The following is a 25,572-nucleotide window of genomic DNA, read 5'->3' on the forward strand; positions in this document are numbered from 1 at the left end:
GAGGTGGTAATTTTAAGTATAAATTTTCCAGCTCTCATTCATTTTGACACACAAATCCTGGAAGACTGGGATTTTTTAATTTTAATATTTCTAAATTGCCTCCATAATTTTTTAATCAGTAGAAGAGAACTGATTTGACATGCAGCTAATTTTCTATGTAAAATCGTTTTTTTTCAAACTTTAGGCAATGGGTAGAAAGATGCATTCTCATTTCCTTCTGCTTTTCCAACAATTCATTAATTAAATTTCAGAGGCAATGAGAGTCTAGGTGGTCTATTAAATGTAAATAATATATAATTCTTTCAAAATTCCAATAAATACACAAATATTTTCAAAATAAAATTTTCAAGGGTTATATTTGTGCAGAGAAATTCAAAAACCATCATGTGACTGATAAAATCTATACTAAACTATTATTTCCCAGTTATTTTATTGAAACAATGTCATGATAGGATTAAAATATTACTAGGGAAAAAAAGTGCCTCCTAGAGTGAGTCACAATCACCCCGGTAGCCTGTTTACTACATGAACACACCAGTGTGTGAAGGAAGGTGGCTTTTTCACACTGCAAATGTGGAAACAGCAAAAGGCTGAATAGGAATGACAACACAAGATCCACCCCCAACCCTGCCAAAAAAAAAAAAAAAAAAAAAAAAGCAGCTGGCCTCCTGATTCTACATAAGGCTATGCATCATGTGATTTATTCCTTTTCCACTATGGTCCCTCCAAATCACATGCTCATGTTAAACTGGAGAAGAATAAGGTATGTACCTAACCAATAATGGCAGACTACTGAGTTGGTATTTTAAAAATCACTTATAAGTCACAGGAAAAACAATTTTGAAAAATACCATACTATTGTAATCTGCTTTCCTAACCTTTGCTTAATTTGGTTGAAAAAATAGATTTGTATTTCTTTAAAGGTCAAAAAACAATCATTGTTTTATCAAACAATCAAAATATAAAATTATTTGCATCATATTACACTTCAACTTAAATACTCATGTCAATAGTAGTTTGAAAGAATAACATTTCGCATTTTGTACTTTTTTCCGTGAATATCAGTGAAAACGGAGTTACTCGTTTTGTTGTTTTTTTAACTTCCTAATAACTTTGACAGTTGGGTAAATTTAAGTAAACCACACACTGACCTAGGGAATACAGGACTTTCTAAAATCAGGCACCCTAATCGGCCAACCCAAAAAAAAGGACAAAAAGCTTTTCTCAGTAGTTCCCACGAGGACATTTTTAATTTATAATTTGATATTGAAATTACAATTATACAAACTATAATTGGAATGAAATAAGCAGATACATTCCTATTCTAAATTCCTTGATTCACTTAAAATGCATCTACTGCAGTCCTAATCTATGCATAACTCTTCATTAGGTGATACTTATGGCAAGACCTAAGTGTGACCACTCTCAAATTTTAGTAAGTTTCTAATAAATTCTGTTCTGAAGGCACATGTCTCTGTCTTAAATAGACTCTGCTCTGGGAATGAGTGGTAGAACCAAGTAAGAGTTCCCAGAGGGACAGTGTTCCCAGAGAAAAGAATTAAAACCATGTGAGAGTTTCCAGAGGAATAATGTATTTCCCTGTCTCTCTCTCTCTTTCTCTCTCTCTCTCTCACACACACACACACACACACACAAACACACACACCTCTCATGACCAGATCAATTACTAATGATATCATTTTAATTCATTTTGTTTTAAAATGCTGTGTTAGTTGATATACATACTATGTGACCTTTCACTTACTGCATCTGTGAAAGCTTGCCCTGGTTTAATGAAGAGGCAATGGGTCCCCAAAGAAAAGTGAGGAGGAATTCAAGTGAATCTTCTCCATCAACTAAGGATTTTCACAGGTAGTAAAGATCATACTTCGTAGTGGTCAGGTAAGCCTAATGCAATTTTGAATTTGGTAAGAAAAGAAATTAAATCCCAGAATTTATTGCAACAATCCACAACCTCGAATTGTTTTTATTTTCTTATTCCCAGGAGCTCTTCTTTAGAATTAACCTGTCAGAAAGCAGGAAGGGAATAACCCTGATTTATTACTAAGAGCAAAGTGAGACTTAAGCTTGAGGAATATTATGGGAAGGGTCCCAAAATGAAAGAACACATTGTGTTTATGCTGACAAAACCAGATCAGTAAGTCATTAACTAAAAATCTAGGTTGACGGGCACTTAATTTGACCTTCTAGCCAACTAGTCTCCAAAGATTATAAAATCTTACTATACCCTTCATATAAGCTGATCATTTAAATGATACATGGGAATTAACCTGCTTGTTGACTCCAAATAGGAGACGTCAGAGAGCCCAAGAGTGTCTGAAGAATCAAAGTCTTTACAAATGATTCATTAAAGAGAAAGCCAGGATCAAAGTCTATGGGATAAACAGAAAAAAAAGTGCTCTCATTTTATTTCCTTATACATTTTTTACCCAAATAAAAGACCTGCTTCCAATCTATAAGTTCACAAAATCTAATGACATTATTAATGTGGTTAAATAACATTACTTAGTTTCAGGGTTTTTGAAAATTCTCTAACATTATTACTCAAAGAATACAATGAAATATGCTGTATTTCAAGCTTTAAAGATTAAGGAGAGCTTCAGGGAAAATAATCTGTTACAGAAGATAGTCTTTTCATAAGAGGGTCTCCTTGCCATACTTCCACATAAAGTTAATGAATAAGTTCTATTTTCGGATCATCTAATTTATATAATTTCAGTCAAAGTATTTTAATAACCTGCTGGGATTGCAACTAATTTGACATATGGTTTTATACACTTCCTTTTTGTAGCTAAGCTGCTGAATAAAAATAAAGTTTGTTGTACAAAACATACTTGAGCTGTGTGTCACACTAAAAATGTTGGGTATCAACAGAGCACCAAGGATTAAAGTTATTTTAAGATATTTGTGCATGGTGATGGTAGTGGGGGGATGTCACGTGTATATCATACATACCTCAGTAGCAAATTGCTGCAATCCACCAATATTAATGGGTCCCTCTTCAGTGGCATATAAATTGCATCCACCTACACAAAGATCAGAGGTTGGACATACCATTCCACAAGTCAGACCAAGTGGGTTGTCAGAAAATATCATCTTAGCAGCTCCATAATAGTTCTGCAAAATTAATACAAAATAAAATTTTACTACTTAAAAATATACTTTAAACAGCCAAATTACGACAAACATTATTTCTTCTACTAGGTAATCAGATTGAAGATAATGATGTGTATAAGATGCATAGGTTTCAATACTACTATCAGGAACCATCAATTAAAACTTAGCAGAGTATTTGACACATAGGAATATTCAATGCACAGTATGTTGATAAATGAATAACTAATCAATTTTGGAAAACTGAAGTTTAAAATATAATAAATGTTCTGTAAATGGTTTTCATTTACAAGTCATCTAACTATATCTTGTCAAAAATTATTCATTTCACTTTTTAACAAATGAAAATTAGATGGCATTGTTTGAACAAACTCAAAACCTAAACTTTAAAACAACAAAAAATGGTTATACTCAGGTTATCCTCCATTTAACTAAATTAAAAGCAGCCAGAGCTTTCATTATTTTTGGAACATATTATTTTCTGAAAAAAGAATGAATAATAAGCTGAATATTTGGGAGAATGTTTTCCTCTAATCAAAAGGAAGAATTGCATCTGACCAGTACTCCTGAAAACAATCAAGTACATCAAAAACAAGAAAAGTCTGGCAAATTTTAACAGACAAGAGAAGCCTAAGGACACATGACAAATAAATGTATTGTGGTGATTTTTATGATATACTGGAACAGAAAAAAAAGTAAAAATTAAGAAAATCTGAATAAACTAGGGACTTTAGCTAATAATCATATATCAATATTATTTCATTAACTGCAACAAATGTACCATACTAATGTAGGGTGTTAATAATAGGGGTAATTATGAGTGCATATGGAAACTCTCTGTACTACTGTCACAATTTTTCCATAAATCTAAAACTGCTCTAAAATACATTTTAAGAATAGAGCTGATAGAATGCACTTAACAATATAAACATATTGCATTTATTTTTCCTTTGGCTTTTATTTGTAATAATTTTGAAGGTCTTTGAAAGCACAGACGTTGCTTCCATGAAAAGCCTCAGACATAAGTACAGATTCCTAGTGATTACAGAATACTGATGATAACAAAAAGGAACAATGACATTTACTATTTATTGACTCTTTAATATATCCCCAGCACTTTAAAAGACTTTTATTTACTCTTAGCACCAATTATTTTATTTACTGTTATCATCTCTCACTATATAGGATGTCCATTGCTCGATCAAAAATTCCTAGATGCAAGAAGAGACAGGACCAAACGCCTGATAATAATAAGAAAACAATAAATAAAATAAGCAAACTCCTAGGTAATCAAGAAATTTAAGTCAGAATAAAAGACTTTTAAAAATAACCTTGACGAAAATTCAGGAAAAGAAAAGACAAAAAAAGAAACAATTAATAATAGCACCAGAATACTGGAATCTGTTTAAAAAGAATCAAACTGATATTTTAGAAGTAAATGAACATTTTAAAATAAAAGCTAATGCACGGCTTTCACAGCATTCGTGGTGGTTTAACAGTATTTGTCTTGTTCAGTGTCCCTTCAGCAATGAAAGTTATGTCTGCCATGTAAGAATGGTTCTTCTACATATATTTTCTGAATATGCAGTAAGAATGTGGTATGAAATTAAACTCACAAGCAATAAAACTGAAATATAAAGGGTAAATAATTAGCAAAGGATCATAAAGCAGATAAGTGGCAGAGACAGGATTCATACTAAAGCATACTGTTCATGGCTCAATAGATTACAGAATCTAGTTACAGTGATCTTATTCAGCTATGGTCCATATGTTGATGTAAACACACACACACACATGCATACACACACACACAAAAGTTCTTTTCAATATAAGCTGGAGGACATATAGCTAGTCCATTCGATTCATTACACTTTATATTAAGTAGTTTTTATTACATAGTTCTTTTAGTTGTGGTCTTTCCATCAGTTCAATGAAAAGCTTAATAAGTTAAAAGTCTGTTTCTTTTAATCAAGAGATTAGGATCTGTTTATTCCCCCAAATTGGATCAGATTTACCACTGTGTTTGTCAGAGTCTTCGGTAGTGTCTCTAAAAGAGGTTAATAATAAATCATTAAGCTGTCAAAGTATAATATCCAAAAGTCAACACAGAAATATCTTACACACAGAGAAGAAAAATGTGTGAAAGATTATATTTACCTCATTAACAAATACAGAATAAAGATAGTAAAATCTGAGTCAAGGGCATTTGAGGCTGCCATGGCTTAATCGGTGAATTGTATAAAACATATAATAACAATTTATGCTAATTTCTGACAAATACTTCTAGAACATACAAGAAGGATTTATCTCAGGAATGCAAGGTTGGTTTATATCAAAATATACCATATCAGTAGAATAAAAGACAAAAAATCACACAATCATATTAAAAGATGCAGAAAAGGCACTTGACAAATTCAACATCCCTCATGACAAAAGCTATCAACAAACTGCAAATAGAAAGAAACTTCAACACCTTAATAAAAGGCCTCTACAAAAACCCACAGTTAACATCTCACTTTATGGTGAAAACTGAATGCCTTCCTCCAATATCAAGAAAAGAATGTTCACTGCATTAGTCAAGGAGTCAAAAGTTCTCCAGAGACACAGAAAGAATAGGATGTATGTGGGGGGGGGGGGGGGTGTGTGTGTGTGTGTGTGTGTGTGTGTGTGTGTGTGTGTGTGTGTGTGTGTGTGTGTATGAGATTTATTATAGGAAACTGGTACACAATTAAGAACCTGCAAATTTCCAAGATCTGCAATTTGAGTCTGCCAGCTGGAGACACAGAAGAGCCAATGTTTTAGTTCAAGTCTCAGTTGGAAGGCCTGAGAACCAGTTAAGTTTTAGTTTTAGTTCTAGTCCAAGAGTAGGGGAGAAAGCCAATGTTTCATTTCAAAGGTAGTCAGACAGGAAGAATTATGTGTTTTTCAGGGTAGAGCTAGCATTTTGTTTTATTCAGTCCTTTAACTGATTAGATGAGGCTCACCTACACTTGGGAGGGCTATCTGCTTTACTAACCTTACTGATTTAAATGCCAATCTAATTCAAAAACACTCTCACAGAAACATCCAAGATAAAATTTAACCAAATACTTGAGCACACAAAGGTTCAATCAATCGGACACATAAAATCAGCCATCACACTAACTTTTACAACTTCTATTCACCATAGCACTTGAAATTCTTGCTAGATAATTAGGCATAAAAGGAAGGAGGAAGTGACAGAGTGGGGAGGGATAGAGATAGAGAAGAAGAGAGAGAGAGGGAGAGAGGGAGGGAGGGAAGGAAAGAGAGAGAGAGAGAGAGAGAGAGAGAGAGAGAAAGTTATCCAGATTGGAAAGGGAAAAATTATTTCTATTTCCATGTAAAATGATCTTGTATATACAAACCCTAACTAATCCACTAAAATACTATGAGAAGTAATAAAAGTACAGCAAACTTACAGGATACAAGATTAAAATGCAAATTAATTGTATTTCAATATGTTAGTAATGAACAAACGAAAAATAAAATCAAGACAGTAATTCCATTTACAACAGCAACAAACAAAATAAATTATTCAGAACTATATGTATTAAAAACTGTAAAAAGTTCAAATTTATACTCTGAAAACTATAGAAAACTGTTGAAAGGAACTAAATAATACCTAAATAAATGAAAATACATCCCATGATCATGGGCCAAAAGACTAATTATTGGGATGGTGATACTATCCAAATTTATCTAAAATTTCAATACAATCTCTACTAAAATCCCAGCTGAGTTTGCAAAAATTGACAAGCTGATCCTAAAATTCATAGGAAAATCCAGAGGATCCAGAATAGCTAAAATGAAAAATAAGAATGAAGCTAGAGGACTAACACTTCCTGATTTCAAAAATTACTGCAAAGCTAACATAATCAAGATAGTATGGTACTGACATGAGGATAAGCATGTAGATCAATGTGATATAAATATGAGTCCAGATAAAAGCCTTCACATTTATGTTCAATTAATTTTTGAAAAAGGTTTCTAAGGCAATTCAATTGGAAAGAATATTCATTTCAATGAATGATGCTGGAATATCTGAATATTCACATGCAAAAGAATGAAGTTTGACCCTATCTCACACCAAACAAAAAAATGAACTAAAAGTAAATCATAGATCTGGGGGTCTGAGAGGGAATGGACAATAACTGCTAATAAGTATGGAGGTTTTTTTTAGCGGTGATAAAATTGTTCTCAAATTGACTGTGGTGATGGTTGAAACTGCAAATGTACTAGACATCAGTGAATTGTCAACTTCACTTACATGAACAAATACATGGGAAGTGAATACATCTCATAAAAGCTGTTATGTTTTAAAGCATGCATTTAAAGGAGTGGGAATTATATACTCAATTTAATAAAGGAATAATTGCATAAAATAGCTAGATTATATACAAAACTAGGCAATGACCTGTAGGGCAATAAAACATAACTTTTGGAATCATTTTTCTTCTGAATAGAAATTGCATCTCTACTTGACACAAAGCTACTAGTTAACATGTACATTCATAGGTTGAATTTTTAAGAATAAATACAGAAGTGAGCCAATGGTTCTTTCTCCTAGAAAACTAAATAGTACTTAGTTGTTCCCTTGTATTTAAAGAATACCTTAGTATGATAATAAAAAGACACAGTCATCTCCTTGACCTGACTTTCTGGTTTTGGATAATTTTACTTAATAATAATGAAAATGAGCAATTACTAACTCAGAATTAATCAGTCTATTCCTAAGCAAACATATTTAGTTCCTGCTGAAGCCCACTGATCTCTTCACTTAGTAAAAGCAACTGAGCAGGTCATCATTGTTAGAAATAATCTCAAAGTCACTGTCAGTATTCTTTCCTCCTCTTATATGACATCACAGAAACACTTGATGTGATTCATTAACAAATATTTGACTGACTCCATGACTCAAAATTCCCATTGTATAATTAGAAGTGTCCTTGTAATATAAAAACAGTATCATGCAAAAAAATGTGATCTGCAATTGGTAGACCACTTTTAAGGATACTTGGGGTAAGGAAGCACAGAAAAAAAAAACATAATCCAATTAAACACTTAAGTATCTTTCCACAAGAATATTGATTGTTTCATGGGCCCCAAATTAGCTTCAAGATTGCACATAAAATGATATCACAAGAAGAAAAAGAGACACGTTTGAAAAATTGCAACAAATAAAATATTTAAAGTTATACTTATGGCTCATGATTTTTCTATAGCTGTCAAACTATGAGTGTCTGATCTACTACTGCCATGAAATTGTCTAATAATTCTTAACACTCTCATGACTCTAAGTAAAACCCTTTCACTAAAATAAAATTTGTAGGAGGTTAAAAATTGTTTTAAGTTAGTAAGGATTTATTGAATGTCTTCTAAATATAAAGCATTATGTGTATGTTTATTTTTTTGAAAAAAACAAGTATATGCTTCCTGATATCAAGATGCTTTAGCATCAGAGTAAGAAGTCATTTCAGGTTAAGGTGTCCAGAAACAGCATTAAATGGGTAACAGTCAAAATGATTCTGGCTGTGACTTGTCTAAGATAAGAGAGAATCATAGCCACATCATTCTTGATTGATATGAGTAAATATTCAAGAAAGTTCACAATAGGGTTTGGTGTAATGACTTGGCAATTTGGCTGAGGTAATTCATTCACTTGGGAAAGATTATTAGAAGATATATTTGAAAAATATGCATGAACCAAATTATGGAGGATTCTGACTGGCAAGCTGAGGGATTACTATTTAATTAAAGCTTTTTAATAGAAGGGTTCCAGTATTAAGAAACTAACTAAGAAAAATATTGAATAGATGATGTGGAAATTCTCAGAAAGGAAGGGGAAAGGTAGGGAGCCCAAGAGAGGTTACACAATGATGCCTAGAAAGAGGAAAGCATAGGCATGTTTCACAGAATAAAGAAGCATGATTTTGAAAATGGGTTGAACCAATATTAAGCAATGATTCACAAGTCACCTTTGCAATCTATCTATTACAAATAACTTTGAAGAAATGGTAGATAACTCCATTGTTTAGGGATCTTAGTACTCAGAGCCAAAGACACTCAGAAACCTATTAGGAGGGGAACACCTCCTCAATTCTTCCCACAGATAATGTCAAGATCAGTATCAATTTATTCTCTCATAGCAAGTGGGAAGATTTCTTGAGTCCTCCTTCTACATAAGAGGTTTGATTTCTGTTCTGTGAGCTCTTCATTCTTTTTAAAAGTAAAGGCTAGAAAATTTAAATTTAGAAGGGTACTTTATAGACACCCCAGCAGTCTCCTTCTAGAAAATACACACTACTTCAACTGGTTCATGTTATTCAATCAGTCACAAACATTTCAGTGTTCCATCATGTGAGGAAAAAATGTACAGAGCTATGTCAGGAGGGATACAAAATACATATCTGATTTTTTTGTGCATAGAGATATTTTATGTACAAAACATTAAGACTTTCAATCCTTCTCCTAACAAAAATCTAAAGACAAAAATAATATTTGAAATGTTTGCTGTTTTCAAATCAACACATTAGGCATTGAATGTTCTTTGGCCCACTAATTTACCCACAATTTGCAGGTGTTGAATTTTCTATTAGTCCTTGGGGTATTTAAAGCATGTCTATAGGCACGACATGTGCCACTTAGGTGAGTTAATTTTAAAATAATTTAATTTCTATACTTTGCTTTTTATTTAAAATTACAGCATGAAACTGCATTAGTGTCATTCCTCCACAATTTAATGATTTCCAAAGTCATTATCAAGAAATGGAAAACTCACAAGCCGCTACCCTGTCATATGGTATAACTAATTTAACAAATAGTCCTATCATATTCAAGTCTTCATATCACTACAAGATTATCAATACAGCTGGTGGATTTATTTTAAAGTGTTCTTCCTTCTTCCAATGACAGTTTTCACAGATGGAAGCACCCTTCCAAGATAAACTCCAATCTGCTGCATTTAAAAAAACACTTGGGCTAAACTTCAAGAAGTTTGCATGTGTGAGAAGGGTGAATTAACATTACTTTTATTTCTGGCTCAAGCTGTAATGGTGAATGTACTGATGTACATTAATTGAATAGAAAATGTCTCTAGCACCACACACAGAAAGTACATGCACACAGAACACTCTTTTTGTCAAGCTGTCACCATCCCTCAATGAACAACCTGTGGGTCCTCAGATATTTGGCAAAGAAGAATGTAGATATATTGTGAACAGAACACATGAAAATTCCTGCCCTCATCGTACTCATACTCTCAGAAAAAAAAAATGGAGATAGAAGAATAGGTTTGACTAGCTTTATTCTGAAAAATTCTCTTTTCATATCTTAGATATACCACATTTTAGATCAGCTTTATACAATATGATTCATTTTTAGAACTACACATTTGGTTCAGTGAGCCTCGTTTAAGCCTATACATGTAAGGAAATTAATAATCATTCTTGTAGAAGATAACGTTTTTATTGATCCTGAGATATTTAACTGGAACAAAAACACAGGCACATACAAGCACGTGCACACATACACACACGTACACGAGCTTTGAAGTCATCAACTGAATTTGAATTCTGCTTATACTATGCACAAGCAATATGACTGGGGAAATGTCATATCTCTCAGCCTCGGTTTCATCACTTGAGACATGAAGATCAAAATTCCTTCTTCGTCAGGCATATTTATATTATGCATTTTTTAACTGTGCATGGATAAGATGCCTATTCCATTATGTACTATACAATAGATTCAGTGAACTTAGGTTCCCACTCTACCCCTTTAGGCTTTTTGTCACTAAAAAGATTTTGTTAAATGTTAATACTGTGAGTTTAAGATTTTAATATTTACTAAATAAATATTAAATAAATATTCCATGTTAGGAAGTAGAATAAGAAATACAGAAAGAAAGAAGCAAAATGTATGTACAGAAAATCACTAATCTACCAAACCATAAAATATCAATGACATGGGGGCATATGAATGGTGGTAAATTTTTTATATAGAACCTATATAAATTTTAAGTCACTTCTATTACTCCTATTTTCTGCATCCTATCCTCCCTGCTCTATTTAATGAACTTGAGAACTTACAATCTTCCCCATGAGTTAGTCAAAATAACTTAGTCTATGTGTGCACATGTATTCAATTCATTATTCATCAAATATGTGAGAGCGCTTTTGGTAAGCACTAGATATGAATGAAGAATCAATATTGTTGCCTCTATATTGTTCTAGCTAAATGAAATAAAACTTTCATCTGTATCAAAACCCATTCTTTTCAGGTAACATTTCTTTTAAAGACCTTTATCAATACTTCAGCTTTTTTCCAATTGGAAGCATAATGCCAGAAAGCACTTTGTACAACAGCCTTTTGATGATTGTGTTTGTTAATATATATTTGCGGTAGTCTTATATTTTTATGACGTGTCTTATTTTTTCTTTTATTAATGTCAGAGATCATGTCTAATCAACCCCTTTTGGCTGTAAGCATATAGGCAACTACATATATAATACTAGAAACTGAACTACTGATTACTACTTATCGTCTTCTTTTTAGACAGAGTCTGGCTCTGTCACCCAGGCTGGAGTGCAGTGGCGATATCTTGGCTCACTGCAACCTCCACCTCCCAGGTTTAAGCAATTCTGCTGCCTCAGTCTCACAAGTAGCTGGGACTATAGGCATGCACCATCACGCCCGGCTAATTTTTGCATTTTTTTAGTAGAGACAGGATTTTTCCATGTTGGCCAGGCTGGTCTTGAACTCCTGACTACAAGTAATCCAGCCGCCTCGGCCTCCCAAATTGAGGGGATTACACACGTTAGTCTCTGCACCTGGCCTACTTATCCTTTAATATTGAAAATGAAAATCTCTATAAAAGGCAAAAATAAGAAAGTGCTTTATAGTTTTTGAATTATCAATTAAATAACATGAATATATATTTTAAAATTATAAAAGCCCCACTTTATCCAGGGAAAATAATTATAAATGCAATAAATTTTATAAGAAATTTAGAGGCTTAAGTTTTTCATTTCCAGTAAGTTATTAAATTTGAAGAGAGAAAGAAAAAGATGAAATACTATTTTATTTAGTGTGTAGTAGAGTTTCTACAATTTGCTTCAAAGAGGATACTTTTCTACATCGAAACACTAATACAAATACAAAAACAAAGATGTCAAAGCTAGTCATCATTAGAGTTGAAAAAAAAAGCATTGGGTATTGAAAGAATTCTACAATTTCATTTATGAATATTACACAGCTTGCAAGCAAATGAGAATCTTTAAGTTTGAGAAATTATTGAAAGGTGAAGATTATTAATCAAAGAATCTCATATTAATGTGAAATATATATATATTCAAACATATATAACTTACATATAAAATGCTGAAAACTTTTTCTTTAATGATTATTTATGCCATGCCAAAAGACACATGATTATTTATGCCATTAAATCTAGACTGTAATATCACACCATTTGTTCTATACAAAAAAGTCAGACTATTTTGTGCGAGTTTGCTCTTTATTGACGAGAATATGAGCAATTCCTTAATTGACAGACTGTTGTGATGCATAGTACAGTGTGTTATTATATTCTACAGTGGAAATAAAAGGGTTTTTCAAAAAAGCCTCCATTCTAAGTACATAATTTAAACCCATTAATAGCTTCAAAATATAATTAGTATCGATTCTAATAATTTACTTTAAAAATTTTAATTTTTCAAAGTAGTTTTCAAAAAAACTAAACTCAAGTTTCTTTAACATGAAGTCTATTACATTATACTTTTTACTCAACATTCAAGACGTTAATAGCACTTACAAAATTTGGTCATGATAGCAAATGTTCCAGCCTTTTATATTTTAATAATATTTCATAATCTGCATACTTTGTTAATATCGATAGTATAGTGTAATACAAAGGCACACTGAACAAGAAATCTAGAAAATTCAATTATACTATCAAGCAGCTGTGTCATTAGCTTTGCTGGGTTTCAAATTTCTTTTCTATACAATGAGATGCCTAGTTCAATTACATTTTCTTTTGGTCTATATTCTGTTACATTGACTTTTACTTATTAATATTAAAAAATACCCAAAATAGTATCCTATGTGTTTCTTATACAGATTTTTCTTGTCTTAATATTGTAAAAGAAAATAGTTGTGATTCCAATTTAATTTATATATATTTAGTTTTTATATCATTAGTGTTTTTTAAAAATAATTTAAATTTTATCAAATATTTACAAAAGCATATGTTTAAATTTGTCTATACTATACACAACCACAAACAATATGATGTTACTCGTTTCATATAAAACTGGCTTAAGATGTATAATAAAAATCCTTTCTCATTTATACTAACATGACTCTTGGACTTATAGTTGTTTACATTTTATAACTTATAATTGACTAACATTTGCTTTGAGCTTACAGGCTTTTCAAATCTGAACTTCCTCTATTAAAGCAAAAGTGAATAAAATCAGTGACTATTACACATTGTATCAGCTGTGATTAAAAGTAAAAATGAGCCGGGAGCTGTAATCCCAGCACTTTGGGAGGCCGAGGCAGGTGGATCATGAGGTCAGGAGATGGAGACCATCCTAGCTAACACGGTGAAACCTCGTCTTTACTAAAATACAAAAAATTAGCCGGGCATGGTGGCACACGCCTGTAGTCTCAGCTACTCAGGAGGCTGAGGCAGGAGAATGGCTTGAACCCGGGAGGAGGAGGTTTCAGTGAGCCGAGATTGTGCCACTGCACTCCAGTCTGGCAACAGAGCAAGACTCCATCTCAAAAAAAAAAAAAAAAAAGTAAAAATGTAACCTTGTGAAGTTATATATATATCAAAACAGAAGCAAGATACATCTTATATAAGCATTAATGACTCAATAGATAATGTTATATCCATCTATCCTTTTCACACCATACATTCAATTAAGATGTGATATTTTAACAATAATACCCCAGTCCTTTGTCTTTAACTCTAGTAAATTTAGTATTCCACAATTTGCCAGATTCAAGACTAGGAAGCTATTTATTAAAATTAAAGTCTGGATTCTGGAAAATTTAGTTAATAGTTACATTAACTACAGTAACATTAGTAATAAATGAATGAGTCAAGGTGGGCATACATTTACATTAATAATTAGAAATTAATATTTTATTATAGTCTGAACATGGTGCTCAATATTTATTCTGTAGAACTCTTTCAGTTTACAAAGCTAGTTTTACACGCAGAAAAAAGCTAGGATACTTTGAAAATAACTGTAATGTCAAGGAGATGCTTTTAGTTAATAACAAAATATACTACACAGCAAAGAAATTAAAACAGCTTGGTCCTGTTACATATAGATAGGTAGGACAAAGAAGATTTGAAAATAGATCTAAATAAATATGGAATCAAATAGGCAATAAAGGTGGCATTAGTATACTAGAGTAATTATTCAAAAAACATATTTGGAACTATTTTAGCAATCTGGGAGGAAAATCTTGGTATTTTTCTCACTCCTTATACCACAATGAAAACTTAGAATAGGGTCTGTCATGTGCTATTGTGAAACCTCTCAGCTTTACTTTATTTAATTTTACTACTGAATTTTAATATATTGTTTTTATTATAAAACGTATGTTCATTATAAGAAGCAAAGTCATTTAGAGATTTATAAGGAAAATGTTAGAAACCTAACTTCACCCTACACTAACCTCAATCAAATGAAGAAACTAAATTACATCCTCCCCTTTTTTGTTTATATACAGATTAAATTTTTTTCTAAAAGTAGTGTCATACTATTCACATTACTATGCAATTTGTCCTCTTTCACTTACTACAAATATCCTTTTAGACCAATAAATATAAAATGCAATTTTAAGAATTGCTTCTTAACCTTCCATAATATAAATATAGCCTAATAGATTGAGCTGATACTAAAGTATTCACCCGTTTTTATTACTTCAAACAATGCTATAATTGCTTTAAATAATATATTTGTATATGTGTCCCTTTACATTGTAATTACTTTATTTCTCTAGGTAGAACAAATTAATAAAGCATGCTGGTGAAACAGTACATATATTTTTAATTCTCAAATATATATCCATCATATCAAAGTTCTTTCCTTCCTGCTGAGTAACACAGGGGTTTACTTTTCAACTTCAACAATTTGATGAGAGAAAACTGGTATCTCATTTTTTCATTTACATCTTACTGACTAATATGCAAGCAGGCTAATTTTAATATGATTAATAGTCACTTATATGACTTCTATAATAGTAAAATTTTTGCCTATGCCTGCACTGAGTTATCCTTCTCATATAAATTTTCAGGAGCTCTTTGAGTAACAAAGATGTTAACACTTGGACTGAAACATGCATGGCAAATAATTTTTCACTTGGTTTCAAGTGTGGTTAGTTTTTATTTTAAAATATATTTTTAAAATGCAGGTAGTAAAATGTCCTCTCCCATATTTTATAGCTGCTTGTAATTAAACTTATCCTTAAATATGTACTTTTAATATCTAGGTTAGTCCACCTGAAAAGAATTCTAGGAGATAACCTATGAAAGATTCTAAAAGTAAAGTCAAAATTATTCCAGATCTACTTATTGAAGAAGTAATTAATTTTCCACTGAATTGAAATGTCCTCCTTATTATATATTACACACTCATATTTACTTGGTTCTATTTATAGACTCTCATCTGTTTGAGAAATGTATATTCCAGCACCAATACTACATTGTTTTGATTACAGTAGCTTTGTAGTATCAGTATCTGATATAATAAATCTTTTTTGTCTTCATTTTTTAAAGTTTCTTTCTTCCATATATCTCCCCAATTACTACTCCTATATTTTCCTACAAAATCTCTGGGTTTTTTATCAGTTTAGACTATCCACTCATTGTTAAATATCTACCGCACTTTTCCAGGGCATATTGAAAACTAATTATCTGCCATGACTCTTCTAATTAGAAATTAAAATTATAGGAAAATAGCTTTTAAGTCATGAATAGGCATGTCCAAGGACTGAAAATAACAAGGCAGTAAGTAGACCAGAGAAATCAGTGGGAATCATCTTAAAGGCATTTGCCAAACCATGTAAACAAAGGCTTCTGTTTTAAGGGTCTCCAAGCATATAGGTTTTAGAAAAAAAAGCTCAAGGCCCACCTAAAGTCTGAGTCTAACATAAGACTCAATCATAAAACTAGGATTGTGTAAGTCCACATCACCAGAAAGAGAAATTAAAATTAACCCCACCTAGGTCCCACCTGGAACTGCACAGAAACTTTTCAGTCTTAAACTTGGGTACACAAGAAAAAGAGGGAAAATAATGTCCTTAGCAAATTAAATTTATATTTGTATTTTTGGTCTGATTCACACAATCTTGGTGACTCGAAAAAAAACATTAAGTGAGGAATTTAGTTTAAGGTGGTCCCAGAGGACTGGCGGTAAAGCCACTGCCTGAGGGAAGCAAATATAAATCCCTTGTAAAGAAACATGCATGCTTCACAGTTCTCAGAGAATTTCCTCCAATAAGGCATCAACACAAATGACAGAGTAAAAAAATAATAATAAAAATTCAATGAACATACAAGGGAACACAAAGCACTCAGTGGAGGCAACAGATAGCACAGACAGTATCATCAGACTCGCAGAGACTTTTAATAGTAAAATTGACAGAATATGAAAACGAATATTTTAAGTTTTAAGAAATAAAAGGCGGCCAGGTGCGGTGGCTCACGCCTGTAATCCCAGCACTTTGGGAGGCCAAAGCAGGCAGATCACGAGGTCAGGAGTTGGAAAGCATCCTAGCTAACACAGTGAAACCCTGCCTCTAATAAAAATACAAAAAAAAAAAAAAAAAATTAGCCGGGCGTGGTGGCGGGTGCCTGTAGTCCCAGGTACTCTGGAGGCTGAGGCAGGAGAATGGCGTGAACCCGGGAGGCGGAGCTTGCAGTGCGCAGAGATTGCGCCACTGCACTTCAGCCTGGGCGACAGAGCAAGACTCTGTCATAAATAAATAAATAAATAAATAAATAAATAAATAAATAAATAAAACAATAAAAGTCTTGAAAAGATTAATAAAAAGCTGGCAGATTAGAAAAAAAGCACAAAAAACTCTTAGAAATGAAAGATATAATTGTAGCTCAAAACTCAATGGACCATTTTAACAGCATATTTGAAACTGGTGAAGAAATTATTAGTAAACTTCAAAACAGAATTGAAGGAAATTATCTATAATAAAACCCCCACACTGTAAATAAAAAGACAAATGTATGAAACCTAAGAGTCATTGAGAACAAAGTAAAAAGATTTAACATGTATCTAATAAGAGCTTCATAAAGAAAGAGAGACAGTGAGATATTTCCCAACATGATGAAAGAAATCAATCCAGTTTCAATAATTGCAAAGAAAAATAAGTAGGACAAATAAAAAGAAATATGGACTTAGATAAATCATGGTAAAATTGTTTAACATCAAAAACTAAAAGATCTTTAAAACAGCACCCCAAAGGCATATTAACCTCAAATGAACAATAATTAGACTTCCATTCATTTTTCAATAGTAGCATTGTATGATAAAAGGCCCCAAAATGGTAAGTTCTATGAAGTGGAAAAATAATAATAATCATTGCCAACCCTGAATTCTATAATTAGTGAAAAAACTTTTCAAAAGTAAAAAAAATGGAAATAAAAATAGTTCAGAAACAAAAATTAAGATAGTCTGGCAACAAAAAAAAAACCCTTTCTGAATAAAATTTTATTTATTCCAAGTAGAACGGCTTCCACATGGAAATTGCAACACTGAAAAAATTGACAAAAATATGAATAAAGCTAATCCAATATTGACTAAATAAAGCAATTATAATACTCTCATCAAATTTTAAAAGAGAGAATTAATATCCACAGAACGTCTTGTAACGTGGAAAGAGGTAATTAGAATTAAACCTCATTCTATGACACAAAACCCACTCACATTGATATTCTAAATGACACAAACCAACCCATAATACATAGGCCAAAATTGGCAGGTCATCTGTAATGAAAACTGGCACGAGTTCAGAATTACTTATTTAAATCACATGGCATACTCAACTCAGCAACTCTGCAGGATTATGGCTTGTGTACCCTCTAGGAATATAACAGAGATAGAGGTGGGGGTGTGTGTGTGTGCATTTGTGTGTGTGTGTGTGTGTGTGTGTGTGTGTGTGTGTAGGGCTTTATTAAGATATAATCTACATAGCATATGTACACCAATTAATTTAGAACACTGATTTTTGAATCACTCAAAAAAGATACTCCATCACCACTAGTAGTCATTACCCACTTTTATAAAATACTCCTCACCTATTTTTGCCCAACTCTCCAAACCGAGTCCCAGGAAATCACTTATCTACTTTCCGTTTCTATATAGTTGTCTATTACGGACATTTTCTAAAATATTCCTCCTAACTGTAATTCTATAACTTTGGAGACATGCTGGTCAAAGGAGATAGAGGTTTTGTTTTGTTTTGTTTTAAAGCTTTGTTCTCTTGAGCACTGTCTTATGGCAGATAGATAAGTCAATACTCTTTAAATGGATAGAGGGGTAAATACTTATTATCCAACAATAAAGATGAAGGAAATGACCTCCTGTACCAAGGGAAACCTGAAATCTTATCACTACTTTTTGTTGCATATATCTAAATCTTCACATTTTAAAAAATTACTGGGTTATAAATTACGGACTTTCCAACATTTTTTCTTCCACTTACTTCTTTAATATAATAGTGGGAGAAACCCCAATCAACTTACATAATAGATTATGTATTTGGACATTAGTTTCTAGGCACTGGGGAGTAACTACAGTTACTGAGCAAGGAAGTCAGAATTTGAGCAAAGCTTTAGAAAGTTATTCTGGAAATGATCAATATTTTGTTTGATAAGAGTATAAACCATTCAGCCATTGAAACTGAAAGGCAAACTGGAAAGCAGAAAGCACCAAATCTATTGGTTACATTTCTGCTTTTCTGCTTTGTAACAGCTGTAATATGTGTGTGTGTTTGTGTGTGTGTGTACAATATATGTACAATATATATCCCTCTCAACCATATATATATACACACACACATACATGCATACACACAAACACGTATCAATGTAACTTTCTTATAAATGCAAACATTATTATCAATAATTTCTGCTGCTTCGATTTTGTTGTTTCTTTAACTTCCAGTTACTTTTAATAAGGATCTATCACAAAGAAAAACTTTTCTTTTACATCGTGTAATTTAGTCAGCTTTTCTGTAACACATAGTATACATTTATTTATCTATACACAAAAGCCACACTAATCTGATTACACAGATTTTATAAACACATGCAAAATCATGGAAAAATCGATGGCTTACACTTTAAAAGTTTTAAGGAGAATATATCTCTATTGTTTTAAATACAGGATCACGAAATCAAGGAACACTGTTTAAAACAGCCATTTATTTCACTATATTTATAGACTGATCTCATGCATTCTCATATAAAGTAGTGTTTTTTAAAAGAAAACCTATCAAGAAATATAACCCAGGATTCACTGTTTGATGAATCTGAAATGTGTACTTCCAATTGAGAGATACAATTGCAAACAACAGCCTGCACAAACCAAACAGAGAAAAACTGACTGAGGGGGGACAATAGAATTGAGTGTACCTTTCAAAACTAGAGCTGTAATCCAGTTTGTAAGAAAATAAAGAATGGAAGTATTGGCCTAAACTCCACTGAATCACAGAAGCCTAACACAATACAAAACAAGTGACATCCTTTTCTCAAAGAGGCGCAAGGCTCATTGAGTCTGGCGATTCAATTACCCTCTCAACCTGGAAAGAACACCCCTCCTGCGTTGAGGTCCACTGGCAAAGCAATGTGGGACAGCCTACATTGTACACAGCTGGTAAATATCTAAAAAGCTGCAGGCTTTAAAGAACAACAGTCTTTGACCTTTTATGATTGCTACAGTGATCCTTCAACAAAAAATTAGGAGAGTTTTTTTTTTTTTTGAGGTTTGACAACATATTATCTTCTCAATTAATCATCTTCAAATCTCTCATATTCATATAAAAATCTTTTAAATAGATATCTAAGCACAACGTTCCATTAGGTAAAGAATATGAACAAATTAATGAAACAGAAAGTGGATTTCCAAAAATAGAGATGACTGTGATCTTGCTTAGACATTTTGTAAACCTAAGAATCCTTTTTGTCTTTTTTTCTATACATTTGTGTAGACCTTGAATAAATGAAGTGTGTACTCATAAAATAACTACTGATTCTGAAATATCTATGAAAAAATTGGGGTAGCATGGATCTTGTAAGATAGTCCGTCATAATTCTCATATTTCCTCATGCTTGATATGAAGAGTGTTAACTTAGATATATTTTTAGCGAAAATACTTTAGACTTCAATCTTTGGATTCTCCTTTTCTGATGAGATCTTTATTAAAAAATGTGATTTTATAAATAGCAGTTTACTTCAAAAACAGCAATCACTTCTATAGTATTTACCATATTGAATGAATAGGGAAACTAATAATTCCACATAAAAAATTGTTGAGTAATCACTATATTAGACATTTTCACATAAAAATATTATTCAGTTTATACTACAACTCTGTAAGATAGATGCTACCTTTCCTTCATAAGTGAAAGTAAGGAGGTAATTACCCCCAGTTTCACAATAAGCGGTTTATCTAAAAATTCAAACCAGACTTCAAATCCTAATAAATCTGACAATGCAGATTTAAATCTGACCATGCAGGAATAATTTTTAAATTCTTTCAAGACCCTAAATTTATATAAAAGTATTTATCATTTTTCTCCTAAATTATCTAAGTACTTGAAATATTAAGAAATAAACTTTATACGTAAAAAGGCACCTGGTTGTTGAAGAACGAGGAGTTAAGGTATCTTTACAGCATTTTAGAAAATTAGTGTTAAACCTTGTGAAAGGATTCTCTGTATCTTTATGGGAGACATTGTTCAGCCTTTGCTCATCCTTAAAGGATTAGACACTTGGGCGAGCTCTCAATGCTCTCTTCACAAAAACAATAGGTACTATCAATTATTCAATCAATCAACCATTCACTTAGTGAATGAAAACTGGGCTTAGACTTACATTGATTTTTAAAAAAAAATAAAGATCAAAATTCCTTTTGTTCTACTCATGCCCATATAAGCCTTTTCTTCTAATTTTAGTTGTGTATTTTTTTTGCTACAACTCTATGAGTCATTATGAATTATTTCAAGTCTTAAACATATTAACTGAATTTTAGTTAAAAAAGTCTATTACCTTGATATATCTATGTGCTAGACTTACTATCAAAGCACACTTTCATAGATATTTCACAAATCATAAATGTGTTTTGATGATCAATGACAGTTCTTGTCTATTAGTATTTAGCAAGCATAAACTAAAATCAATCTTTTCAGTGTCTTGAATTTTAAAAATCATTCATTTTAACACAAACTAATTTTCAAAACAAAAAACAATGAACCTGGATTTTCATGATAAATCACAACTTGGAAGTGCTTAATTAATAAATGTGCCACATTTTTAAATGCCTATAGAAGTCATATTTAATGGTTTAACTGGATTTGCTAAGACAAGCTGTATTCTGTACCCACAGATAATAGAGAACAAGATCAAATACTGTTATTTTCATTTGCAGAGTTAAATCTGAATTTACCTTGTTTGCAATACTTGTGATGAATGATTTAATATCAAGATTAGTTGGACAGCTCTTCTGACACGGGGCATCTGCACATTTCAGGCATCTAGGAAATAAAATAACTATGTTAAGAAACTACAAGATAAGTGAGATAATCTATTTTCTACCTTATACTCATTCAGAGTCCGTGTCTAGTAAGTATAAATAAAATCGTATCATTTTTAGGTACAAAACATTTTTAAGCAATAAATACAAAGTTTCTGTGTTTCATCTTTGGCACTCCTCTTGGGATGCATAAATGAGAATCATGCTGGCTAGTAACTGTCCCTCCTCTCAGAGTTCCTTCTTGATTTTAAGAGAATCATACTTATTTAGGACATACCATTCCCTCACTCTATCAGTTTTGTTTCATCCTTCACTATGCTGACAATACTTGCATGCAGTTTTTTATGATAAGGTTTGTAATTCTTTTAGACCAAAATTATTAAACAAATGCAAAGATTAAAGGTAAAGTCTTATTTTACCACTTGAAATATCCTTTCTTCCACTCTTCCTTCCTCCCAGCTTCCCTCTCTACCTCTCTCTCTCTTTCCAATTGTCTGAAGTCTTTCAGCCTCCATCCCATTCACAGGACAATTGAGTTCTGTAACAGATGCCTCAAAGCATAGCCCAGATCCATACCCTTCAGGACCAAAGCTTTATTCCCACAGCTGCCTTCCCTCTGCTGCTGAAGAGAATGGGCTCCAACAAGGTCAGCCTCCTTTCCAGTAGCAGCACACATACAATTCAAGGTCAGTGAGCGGGGTTGGAGGCTCTCTGCCCATTCCCATATTTGGGGAACTAGTCTGCAAGGAGCCATTGAAGCATTTATTGTGACTATTTGCTCAGTCCCACTTCCTTCACTCTTCTACAGATGTTAACCTGCATATAAACTTCCTGCATATTAATCTCATCTGACTCTCCTCTCCGGGGGACTGGCCAGAGATGTATTCAAACTTTGTTGCACCTAAGAACCACCTGGGAAGCTTGATAAATGGCACAGACTTCACAGAGGAGCCCCTACTGAGTCCAAGTTACTGACCTGGGAATCCGCATTTTGAAAAGGGCCTCTGAAGTGATTCTAGTGTTCATAGTTGGAAGCACATTGTTAGAACAACATTCTATAATTATTCATTCAGGACAACTAAAACCAATGGCCAGACTCATCCTTTATTTGCACATTAACTTATGTGTGTTTTTCTTCATTTATTCATTTATTTAATACATATTTAATAATCCTCCATTACATAGCAGACCCTGGGATATGAGAATATAAAAGTGTTGGAAAAAGATCACCATGGTCCTGCCATCATAGAACATGCAGTTTGAATGAAGTACAGACACAGAAAAAGCCACACACTGGTCAATGTGGTCAATGAGAATCTGGGTGAAATATAGCATGCTAAGGGAGCACAGATGAAAGACAGTAGTCCTGGAGGGAGGTTGTCAGGACAGGCTTCTTGGGAGGAATAATATTGAAATAGAAGCTTGAAGAACGAGTGGACATTAGGAAAGCAAATGACAGTGGGATTCTGAGTGCAGGGTCACTCAGGATAATTACCCAAGAATAGAAAGAGTATGCACCAGTGCCTGGAAAGAAAAGAACGTGACAAGGTAGGTGAACTAATGAATTTGGTCTAGCATAAAGTGAGAGTGGGAGTAGAAAGAAATGAATGTGGAGACAGACAACTAAAGAAAATATACTACTGCCACATGTGTCAGAAAAACAGCATTCTCCAAGAATTTCACTGAGCATGAATCCTACATTGCTCAGTGACAAAGGTGACTAGCTAGTTCATTTTCTATACACTTCCATGTGTAAAGACCTTGGTTCATTTCCTTCATGAAAACAATACCAGTCTCCTTGTCATTCTTTTGTGAGTAAGAGAGCCCTCTTCATTGTCTGAACCAATTTCTCAGTGCCTAATTAATATCTTGTTTTTAAATCTGATCTCTTTTCTCTGGTTTGTGCCCTTAGCCTTCTCTCTAAATTAAATTTTACACAATGAGTACCAAAGGCTTTTCATAATCAATTGTCCTCTCTGAAATGTAGTCATTAAACCTCTTCCCTATCATTTCTCTAAATGCCATTGTTAGATTCACATCTATCATTTAGTTGAATTCCTGTCTGCTCATACTTAACGTTTTTTCCCCGAAACACTATTGTTGAGTTCAAAAATAATTTCTTCGAAGTATAATCTGCAGCATACATTGCAAACAATACAAAAAGCTCCATAATGTATGGCCTATTTGGTCCTTGATGTTAAAATGAGGTGATATTTATATGTGTAACTGTCATGTGGATAAATATACTGAGCATTAATAGTGGTTTGAAAGGATTTTCTTTTATGTCGCAATACAAAATAGCTAAAAAGTAAATAATATGCCAACTTAAATGTCACCTTATTGTTGAAAAAAAGTCTTTTAAACAGTTGTAAAAATATCTGCCATCACACAAAAGTAAGCGCACACACACACATATATGGCACATCATATGGATTCTGGTTATCTCTATGAAGTCACAAGTTTTCTGCTTTTCTTTTTTCTAACACCCAACTTGAATAATAACACAATTAAAAAATAAAGTTATAATGTCAGCAGATATAAGGGAACCAAATTAATGTGCAGTGTATTTTTCTGTTCTTCCAGAGAAATCTTATATTCAACATAAACAGATTCACTTAACAGTATTGACAATGTAAGGATTTTTAGTTGTGGTTATTAAGCCTCTTTACCAAATAATTCTCCTTTTATTATTGAGCTAGTTCACAAATAACAGCTGTTGAAAATGTCAGATGTTAATGAGGCAGGGCCACGCAAACCTGAATTGTAGCATTCCTTTTTCCTTTGGTGTCATGAATATGCCAGAATGGGCAGACTCTGATAATAATACCATCTTGCAATTCTCTAAGCGCTCTGCAGACTAAAGTGCATCAGGCTGCCATTAATCCCACTTATCACTCTGACAGCTCAGTAATTACACTACTGCTATAGCCAGGTAGTCCTAATAAAATATCAACCACTGCACTGGAATGCATACTGGTGAGATGTTTTATTAAACTTTGAGCGGTGGGGGTTGATCATCAAGTGACATTAGTGTTGACCTATTTTTCTATTTGACAATAAATTATCCTTTGACCATGCCATAATAGATATTACAGAGTGCATTTACTGCACCAAATCAGAAAGGTACTGCATTACAATGATATAGGCAAATGGTGTAAATAAAATAGCAGAAATGCATGTCAGAATGTTATTACCTAAATTGCTTTAAATGATTGATACCATGAAAAATCACAGACACAGTACTTAGGGGAATATGTCAACAATTATCGTAAACCACAGTTCCACATAAATTTCTCCTTAAAAGTAACATTTAAATTACACTTGTTTTCATCTTTAGTCATTTAATTCCCCTTTTACCTTTCAAAGTTACTCTGTTATAGTGCAGTTTATTTTTAAATGCATAAGCAGCAAAAATTAATTCAGAGAAACAATTATGTCATACATTTTCCCCCAAATAGTTGTTATACATAAAGAAGTATATTTGATTTTTTTAAACTACAAGAAAACAACTTAGAGTTTTCACTAGGCATACACTTTTTAAATTTTCATATTTAATACAAAGCATAACAATGAATTTGTCGAAGAGCAAAATATAGAATACTTAATCAATGTTAATTTTTTATAATT

At 32.6% G+C, this 25,572-nt stretch overlaps 1 protein-coding gene across 8 annotated transcripts in view; it reads right to left on the minus strand.

The window, feature by feature from the left end:
* The window catches only part of DPYD (dihydropyrimidine dehydrogenase), an 843,317-nt gene that overhangs the window by 640,791 nt on the left and 176,954 nt on the right, over positions 1-25,572 (minus strand). For 6 of the 8 annotated variants that reach the window (XM_047448077.1, XM_017000507.2, XM_005270562.3 and 3 more), the window contains 2 exons: positions 21,859-21,946; positions 2,977-3,138 (listed from right to left, as the gene is read on the minus strand). In XM_047448077.1, the coding sequence (XP_047304033.1) occupies positions 2,977-3,138; positions 21,859-21,946 (250 nt within the window). 8 annotated transcript variants of the gene reach the window in all.

This window comes from Homo sapiens, chromosome 1 (assembly GCF_000001405.40).
Source record: "Homo sapiens chromosome 1, GRCh38.p14 Primary Assembly".
NCBI lineage: Eukaryota > Metazoa > Chordata > Mammalia > Primates > Hominidae > Homo > Homo sapiens.